Below are 9,973 nucleotides of genomic sequence, written 5' to 3'. Positions count from 1 at the left end.
ACACTGGAGAGCTTTTCTCAGACTGTGCCATGGGCAAGGTTGGTTACTCTGGTTACAGAAAGCCATATCAACCCCAGTCTGTTCTGATGCTGAGTTACTCACTCTTGCCAGGCTTGTCCCAGATGGAACTTTGTATGGAACGTACTTCCTGTAGATATGACCAACTCTAGAACATGGAACATCAAACATTTCTCCTCCACACATCCAAACCTGAAGAGGGAAAAATAGAACAAAAGACAACAGTGAATTTCACACAAGAAAGGAATAATCAGTAGGACTCATAAACCATCTTAAAATCTCTAAAAGTCTTTAAATCAATAATTTCTACTTATTATAAATGGCTAACCAGAAAAGAAAACCACTTTTTTTTAAAACCTAGATTCATAAAAGTTTAAAACCAAAATACAGCTGAGTGCAGTGGTTCATGCTTATAATCCCAGTACTTTGGGAGGCCAAGGAGGGAGGATCACTTGAGCCCAGGTGGTCACGACCAGCCTGGGCAACATGACGAAACCACATTTCTACAAAAAATACAAAAATTAGCTGGGTGTGGTGGTGTGCGCCTTCAGTCCCAGCTACTTGGGAGGCTGAGTTGGGCGAATGGCTTGCTGAAGTGAGCTATGTTTGCACCACTGCACTTCAGCCTGGGGAACAGAGCGAGACCCTGTCTTAACAAAACAAAACCAAAACTAAAATACTAGTTCAATAAAATCCTGTTTCCATAGACAACATGTTGGCTTAAGAAAAATTCTAGTAAAATTTTGTTACAAATATTGTATTGAACCCACATTTCATGCTTAGACATCTTATTTATATAGATATTTGTTTCAATAATCTTGTAAAATCATTTGAAGAAATAACATTTGAAATTAAAATGCCAATTTAAAAATTTAACATATAAAAAGTGAAATTTTAAAAATAGGTGAATGCTTTAAAGAACACAAGCATATCATACCTTTTAAGTTGCATTCTGAAACTTGCAACAGTGCTAACCTTAAAAATCAGAGTTGCATTCTCATTTCTCCCCCCGCCACTGATCTTTTTCTTAGGTACAGAAAATAATCAGTTAAGATGCTGTACTTTTTTTTTTTTGAGATGGAGTTTCACTCTTGTTGCCTAGGTTGGAGTGCAATGGTGTGATCTCAGCTCACTGAAACTTCTGCCTCCTGTGTTCAGGCAATTCTCCTGCCTCAGCCTCCCAAGTGGCTGAGATTATAGGTGCCCGCTACCACGCTGAGCTAATTTTTTGTATTTTTAGTAGAGGCGAGGTTTCACCATGTTGGCCAGGCTGGTCTTGAACTCCTGACCTCAGGTGATCCGCCCACCTCGGCCTCCTAAAGTGTTGGGATTACAGGCGTGAGCCACCGCACCTGGCCCTAGATGCTGTACTTTTATATTTAGTAACAAAAGTCATGGTTATATTTTACCATGACAACCTTCTCAGACAGACGCACACTTAATTGTGGTTTTATATAACAGATCTTCTATTATAAAAGAACTAATTATCAAAACATAAATCCAGGCTTCATATAGGCTATAGTCTTAGCTATTTTTATTGTAAGATAAATGATTATAAAAAGAGATACTCTGATGGTTAATTTTATGAATCAACTTGGCTGGACCATGGCGCCCAGATATTTGGTCAAACACTATTCTGGATCTTTCTGTGAAGGTGTTTTTTGCATTCCATTAACATTTGAAATCAGTGGACTTTGAGTAAAGTGAATTACCTTCCATGATGTCGATGGGCCTCATCCAATTGGATGAAGGTGTTAATAGAACAAAGTCTGACCTCTACTGAGCAAGAAGGAATTCTGCCAGCAGAATCCCTGAGTCTCCAGCTTGCCCACCTACTCTGAAGATTGTGGACTTACCAAGCTTCCACAATCGTGTGGACCAATTCCTTAAAATTAATCTCTCTCTTCCCTTGGTTTGGTTTCTCTGGAGACCCCTGAGTAATACAGATACATATCTTGATTTGAAGTGTAATATTGAAAGAGAGAAAGAGAAATGCTTATGTTTTCCTTTATATTTGCTTCCAACTTCTTTCACTAAGAGGAATGTCACCCAAGCGAGAATGGTTGAACAAATGGTGATTAAGGTCAATGGAAGTCCAGGAAGGAATAAGTGCAATTATTAAAGCAACATTCAGTTGCTGTAATTGAGTTCAGGATTACTCATAGTATTAATTTCAACTTGATGGGATATTTAGTAACGATTTGGATCAAGCCTTCAGAAATATGTGTGGGTAATATAAAGCTGGTAAGGGCAGTGGACAGTCTAAACTACATTATCAACATATGGAAAGATCTCCACAGGCTGGAGCTCTATAACATTGAACATAAAAAGGCAACAATAAACACCTGTCCCAGGATCTTAAGAAATCAACTCTTCCACAGCAGGAAGTGTGGAAAAAGACTGAGTAGCACAAAACACACATCATTAACATACTATGGAGAATTTAGGGACCAACGATCTAGATCTATCTGCAGGCCTGAAGTCTTTTGCTAATTTCTGGATAAATGCTTTATATTTCCTTCTAAGGGGAATTTTAAAGTTGAAAAGTGATGTGAACTCTGTCTTAGGAGAGGCAATTGAAAGAACTAAAGATGTGTAGTTCTGATAAGATAAAATTCAGAGATAGCCTTTTCAAAGAACCCAATATTTGGAAGAGATGTTTTGTAGAGCCTTTAGGAGATAGAACCAGGATTAATTGCATATAGCTGTAAGGGGGCAGATTTCAACCTAGTAGGAAGAAATTTCTAATAAAATGATTAAAGATAGAATGGACTTCCTGTATCACTAGATGTGTTGAAATCTGCAGCAGATGACACTGGAGATAAACATATGACTCAAATGGACATTTGATCTAGCTGATAATTTAAGGCAATTCTACAGCACAAGTTAGCATTTATGAATGCTAATTATGCCCTTTTCATTAATTATTTCATGTAATGCTCACAATTCAATGACAGACTTTACTGTTTCCCCAATTATGAAGGTGGGAAAATGGCAGCCTAGAGATGCTAAGTAGCTTGTTCAAAGCCACATAACTGGCCACTTCCAGAACTGAGATTTGAAAACCTAGTAGTCTAACTTCAGTGTCCACGTGTTTAATTGATATTGTATCTATAGATTATGCAAACTCTTTCTGTAAAGGGCCAGAAAATAAATACTTTTGCCTTTGTAGGTCATATGGTATCTTTTGGAACTCCTCAAATCTGCTAACAAATAGGCATGGTGTATTTCAGTTAAACCTTGCTTACCAAAACTGGCAGTGGACTATTGTTTGCTGGCTCTTGTTCTATAAAGAAATTAATCCTTTCAAACACTAACTTTCAGTGATTCTAAGATAATGTATGTGGGAGATTATAGTTTCCAAAATTAGACACCACAATATCTTCCATTGCACATACCCCTCTGCAATGTGACCTCGGTAACCAACTTTCCATTAGGGGATCGGTCTATGTCTCCTCTCTTTGAATTAGGGTGGGCTTATGAATTCTTAGACCAGTAGAGTACAACAGAAGTGGTTGAAGATAGGTCATAAAAGGCCACATAGCCTGTCCTCTGGGGCATTTGTTTTTGAAACTCTGGGCTTCCATGTGAGAAATTTGACTCTCTGAGGCTACTCCATTGTGAAAAAGTCCAAGGACCTGAGATGTCATGCATTGGGTAAATACCTTTACTTGGGGTTTTAACTGATGACCAACATTAGCTGCCAGCACTGTGAATAAAGATGCCTCTACGTGATTCCAGCCCCTTGCTGCTGAATCATCCCCCCGAGACTCCATATATCACAGAGCAGAAACAAACTATCTCCTCTGTGCCTTTTTTTGAATTTGCGGCCCACAAAATCCAAAAGCTTAATAAAACAGTTGCTTTATGGTGCTAAGCTTTGTTATGCAACAGTAGTAATTGGAACTACATATTTCTAAATCCATGATAAAGGTGAATTACTAACACCGATAACCAAAATTTATGGATCACTCATAGATTTCATCTTATTCTATTGTACGGGATACAGAGCTAGGACTCAGCAATTTCCATGCTCACTTCCTCCTGGGCACACAGCCAAGTTATAATTCCCAGCTCCTTTGTATTTAGATGTGACTATGTAATTGTTTCTTGACAGTGAAATGCAAATGGAAGTGATGTGCATCACCTCTGGGCCAAAGAAATTACAAGTGGACTACTTTCTCTACCTTATTTATAATATATTTTTCCCTCAGAGCCTGAGTAATTGCAGAAGATACAGAGGAGGATTCTGAGGCCCTAGCAGATGGTAGAATCATTAAATGGATGGGGACGGGGTTGCTGAAAACTGGGTGAAGCATTGCTCATGCCTCCTCCTCCAAATTGTGAGACAAGCAATAGAAAATTCTTATTAATGTTAAATTACCAAGATTTTGGATTTATTATAGATGTTGTTCCACCCTAATGAACAGTCATTTTTTTCTCAGCCTCTTCTGATATTTTTAATCAAATTTAGTGACTGTAATTATTTGAGAGATTACTTTAATTCTTACTCCTGCATTTTAAAGAGGTAGAATTTAAAAGTAATTAGACAGCAGGTGTTAGGGTGGGAAATGGGAGGGAGGAGAATGCTGGATAGTCCAGTGTATAATCAAATGTCAGTGCTTATTGGTCAAAGATAAGCAAATGTCAAGGCAAAGAAACTTTCTTATCATCTGCAGCTGGGAGATAGGAATTTGTTGGCACAGCCTTTTGTTTTTCACAAAAAAGTGACAATATTGATTAGCTTGTGGAGGTGGCCAATCTTTCCTGCAGGACTAGGAGATGGTGATAAGTGAGGACAAGATGTGGGGTCAAGGTCTGGAACAATGCCTTACATTTTCTGGCCTTAACCTATTCTTCACTTAATGTTATCTTGTAAAATACTTACAAAGTGAGCAGAAGTGAACTAAATGCATCTTAGGAGAGTATTTGCGGAATGAAAAGTGCCGTAATAGAAAGTTCAATAAATCATTATTGCTTTCTGTTATGGATTGAATGTTTGTATCCATCCACCCTATCAAATTCAAATGTTGAAATTTTAATCTCCAATGTGGTGGTATTCAGAGGTAGGGTCCTTGGGAGGTGATTAAGTTATGAGGGTAGAGTTCTCAAGGATAGAATTAGTGAACTAGTAAAAGAGACCCCAGAGAGCTCTCTCATGGTCTTTCCACCATGTGAAGATACAATGAGTAGTTGGCAGTCTGCAACCTGGTAGAGGGCCCTCTCCAGAACCCAACAATGCTGGCACTCTGATATCAGACTTGCAGCATCCAGAACAGTGAGAAATAAATTTCTGTTATTTATAAGCCACTCAGTCTGTAGCACTTTGCTATAGCAGCCCAAATGGGTAAGTAAGACTCTTTCCTTCTTAAGATATAGCAAAACAACCTAATAAACACACAGTAATAAAATTTCAACTAATTATTCTCAGAGGGTCACTCTAACATGGTGTTTACAGATGTACGTGCATAACAGATGACCACATACTTAGTTGTTTAAAACAACATACATTTACTGTATCACAGTTCTGTAGGTCAGGAGTCCATGAGGGCTCAACAAGGTTCTCCATCAAGGGTCTCACAAGGCTGAAGTCTAGGTGTCTGCTGGGTGGAGCTCTTACCTGGAGCCTCAGGGGAAGAATCTGCTTTCAAGTTTACTTAGGTTATTGACAGAATTCAGTTTGCAATTATGGGACTGAGATCCCCATTTTCTTGATGGCTGCTGACTGGGGACCATTCTCAGCTTATCGACACCATTTTTAGTTCCTTGCTTCACAGACCTTCCATCCCAGCAGTGGTTAAACTCATGTGACTAGATGAGGCCTACCTTGATTACCTCCTCTTCTTAAAGTGAACTGATTGATAATTACGTTTGCCAAATCTCTTTTACCATGTAACGTTGACATACTCATGTGAGTAAACCAAGGAAGAGAGTCATCTTAGAGTTCTGTTACTACCATTTCCAAGGACTCAAAATTCATGTCTTCTATCGATAACCTCATCCTGGTTCTTAAAATTCTTCCCCTCAGAAGTTTCTCTGTGTAGTTAAGTCAAATTCAAGAAACTTCTGGGCAGACTTTTTAAATTCTAAATTCAGTGTTGAGAAAACTATAGAATCCTGCGATTTATTTTTTTTTCCTTCTTACGGCCCCATGATCACTTTAAAAAAAAAAAAAAACATAAGCCTGGTGCGGTGGCTCATGCCTGTAATCCCAGCACTTTGGGAGGCCAAGGTGGGTGGATCACGAGGTCAGGAGATTGAGACCATCCTGGCTAACACAGTGAAACCCCGTCTCTACTAAAAATACAAAAAAATTAGCCGGGCGTGGTGGCAGGCACCTGTAGTCCCAGGTACTCGGGAGGCTGAGGCAGGAGAATGGCGTGAACCCGGGAGGTGGAGCTTGCAGTGAGCCGAGATCGCGCCACTGCACTCTAGCCTGGCGACAGAGCCAAACTCTGTCTCGAAAAAACAAAAAACAAAACAGTAAAAAACATAAATCTGAGCATACCATTCCTCTATCAAAATCCTTCAGTGGTTTTCTACTGCTCTTAGGGCAAAGTTACAACTGCTCCATAAAGGTTCCAAGACTTTGCAGGATCTGGTCTTTGCCTACTTGTCTCTCAGTCACTACCTTCCCACTCCCCTGGCCAGAGCTATTTTTAATTCCTTAGGAAGGATCAGGTTTCCCTCCTCAGAGCTTGCTGCCATCAGTTGTTTTCTCCAAAGAAAATTCTCCCACCTTCTCCTCTTCCCTTTCCTTCTTTCCTATTCCTTGTCTTCTCTATATTTTCCAGATTTCAGCTTAACTCACACTGAGCCCCCAGATTTGGTTGGGATTCCCTGTTTCATGCTCTCACTCTATCCTGTGCTTCTCTTTCATATACTTCGTTAAGTGAACAAATACGTAGTGAGCACTCACTAGGTGCCAAGCATCCGTCCCAGACAGAAGCTCTAATGTGTGACCCACTTAAAGTTTTGAGCACATGGAGCCTTCTTTCAATTGGAGACAGTGTTGCCCGGAAGTGCGGGAATCCTCAGTCGTTTATAGTCTTAGGAGAAAGGTTTTGGCCAGTTCAAACACAGCAGAAAACTTTACATGAAGGGAAAGAGGGAGCAGAGAGTTTATTTAAAGGGACAGGACATTGTGAAAGATGAGGCAGAGCGGGCTGCTGAAAGAGAATGGGCCAGGCGCACCCTGAGAGTTCTGCATTGGGTTTTTATGATGTTGGATTTTTTCTTGAAGTTTTCACCTCTGTCTTAAGTCATCACCTTTTTTCTTTGTCTAGTTTTCCCGCTTCTGCCTTAAGTCCCTTACCTTTCCCTGCCTAGTTCCCACCCCAGGCTCGTGGGACCCTCCCTGAAATGGTTCTGCTCTGTCCCCACAAAAATCTCATCTTGAATTCCCACGTGTTGTGTGAGGTACCCGGTGGGAGGTAATTGAATCATGGGGGCAGGTCTTTCCTGTGCTGTTCTCGTGGTAGTAAGTCTCACGAGATTTGATGCTTACTATAAGGGGAGTTTTCCTGCACAAGCTCTTTTTGCCTGCTGCCATTCAAGTAAGATGTGACTTGCTCCTCCTTGCCTTCCACCATGATAGTGAGGCCTCCCCAGCCATGTGGAACCGTAAATCCATTTAAACCTCTTTCTTTTGTAACTTGCCCAGTGTTGGATATGTGTTTATCAGCAGTGTGAAAACAGACTAATATACTCCCCTTGGTGTGCACACATGGGGCAGTGTTGGATACTAAGTCTACCTAGTGGCTGCATTGCTCATTAGCACCATCCCAGGAAGGTTGTATAGAGGTCAGATCTATACTTATTCTACCTGCGTATTTCTTAGGAATTTCTCTGCCCTCTGATATGGTTTCCTGTGTCCCCACCCAAATCTCATCTTGAATTGTAGCTCCCACATTTCCCAAGTGTAGTGGTAGGGACCCAGTGGGAGGTAACTGAATCATGGGGGTGGGTCTTTCCAGTGCTGTTCTCATGACAGTGAATAAGTCTTATGAGAGCTGACGGCTTTATAAAGAGGGATTCCCCTCACAAGTTCTCTCTTCCCTGCCACCATGTAAGATGTGACTTGCTCCTTCTTGCCTTCCACCATGATCCTGAGACCTTCCCAGCTGTGTAGAACCGTAAGTCCATTAAACCTCTTTATTTTGTAAATTGCCCAGTGTCGGGTATGTCTTTATCAGCAGCATGAAAACAAACTAATAAACTCTCTTCCCCTCCTTGTCAGCACACACCTAGCTACATCCTGGCAGGTTAACTGCAAAGAGATGATTACTGGGTCTCTTAAGGAGCGGTCCTTCCTGCATAGGTGTTTCCCCTCCTCTCTGCTTATAACTAGCCTACCTGTTTCTGGTGATCTCTGAGGTGTGAGATTTTTCTAGACCTCCATTTCCTCAGGGTCTCCCCATCCTGCTCATGCCTAGCTATCTGCCTACTCTAACAATAACACTTGGGATAACTGTAATGAAATGATTTCTTTGAGTGCACCTGTATGATTTGCTTAGCATCTGCCTCCCCTCACCAGACTATAAATTCCATGACTTTCTTTTTCACTATTATATCTCCAGCTACTGTTGAAGGGTTCAGCACATAGAAGACACTCAATAAATATTTGTGGAGTAGGTGAATATGGTGGCTTCTTCTTTCAATTATACTTAGTGCTTCTACTTATGTGGAAGTCCCTAAGGCTTTTCTAATTTAGTGTTGCTTCACACAACCTCAGGGCCCCCTTACTTTTACCATAGCACACTGCTTCCACTATCTCTAATCTTAGAGTTGTTTTTGTCTCTATCCCCTGGATATCACTATGCACTACTTTATTTTTTTTTCAGTCTGCCAATAACTATGCACATTTCAGTAGAAGCATTCACATTCTGATAGAGTAGATGGATTTAGGTATTAGTGTGGGAACATGATTCCTTAGGAAAGCACACTGTTGTGGCAGGTATTAAATTCTATATTTGTTCTGAAAGATATGGATTATATTTTTAAAAGAAATTTTTGGTAGTATGATGTGATGATAGTCTAAAAAAAGTGGCATGCCATATGTATTAGTCCGTTTTCATGCTGCTGATAAAGACATACCTGAAACTGGGAAGAAAAGGAGGTTTAATTGGATTTACAGTTCCACATGGCAGGGGAGGCCTCAGAATCATGGCGGGAGGTGAAAGGCAGTTCTTACACGGTGGTGGCAAGAGAAAAATGAGGAAGAAGCAAAAGTGGAAACCTCTGATAAACCCATCAGATCTCATGAGACTTATTCACTATCACGAGAATAGCATGGGAAAGACCAGCCCCCATGATTCAATTACCTCCCCCTGGGTCCCTCCCACAACATATGAGAATGCTGGGAGATACAATTCAAGTTGAGATTTGGGTGGGGACACAGTCAAACCATATCTCCATACTTTAGTAGTTAACTCTTAGAGAAATATTTTACATTTGCAAATAATGTGTCTTCTTTTGACAGCATAAATATTTTGAAGAAATGTTATTTCACCTGTGAATGAATACATGCATTTTTTCTTTGCTTTTTTTTTTTTTTTTTGAGACAAGGTCTTGCTCTGTCACCCTGGCTGGAGTGCAGTGAGCGATCATGGCTCACTGCAACCTCTGCCTCCCAGGTGAAAGTGATTCTCCTGCCTCAGGCTCCCAAATAGCTGGGATTATAGAGGCCCACCGCCGCACCCAGCTGATCTTTGTATTTTTAGTAGAGACAGGTTTCACCATGTTGGCTAGGCTGGTGTTGAACTCCTGACCTCAAGTGATCCACCTGCCTCGGCCTCCCAAAGTACTGGGATTACAGGCATGAGCCACTGTGCCTGGCCTGGCATTTTTTTCTTTTGTCATAATGCAGTTCAAATTGATGGAATAATTAAATGTTTGTCTTATTTTTAAAACAATTTTCTATATCAGCCACAACCTGAAATTTGGACATAGAGAA

At 40.6% G+C, this 9,973-nt stretch overlaps 1 protein-coding gene across 8 annotated transcripts in view; it reads right to left on the bottom strand.

The window, feature by feature from the left end:
* GALNTL6 (polypeptide N-acetylgalactosaminyltransferase like 6) overlaps nt 1-9,973 on the bottom strand; it is a 1,228,156-nt gene that overhangs the window by 110,189 nt on the left and 1,107,994 nt on the right. For all 8 annotated transcript variants that reach the window (NM_001034845.3, XM_017008243.3, XM_017008244.3 and 5 more), the window contains one exon: nt 103-210. In NM_001034845.3, the coding sequence (NP_001030017.2) occupies nt 103-210 (108 nt within the window). The remainder of the gene's footprint in view (nt 1-102; nt 211-9,973) is intronic.

The sequence above is a fragment of the Homo sapiens genome, chromosome 4, assembly GCF_000001405.40.
Source record: "Homo sapiens chromosome 4, GRCh38.p14 Primary Assembly".
Lineage (NCBI taxonomy): Eukaryota > Metazoa > Chordata > Mammalia > Primates > Hominidae > Homo > Homo sapiens.
This window is presented reverse-complemented; position numbering and strand designations above follow the sequence as displayed.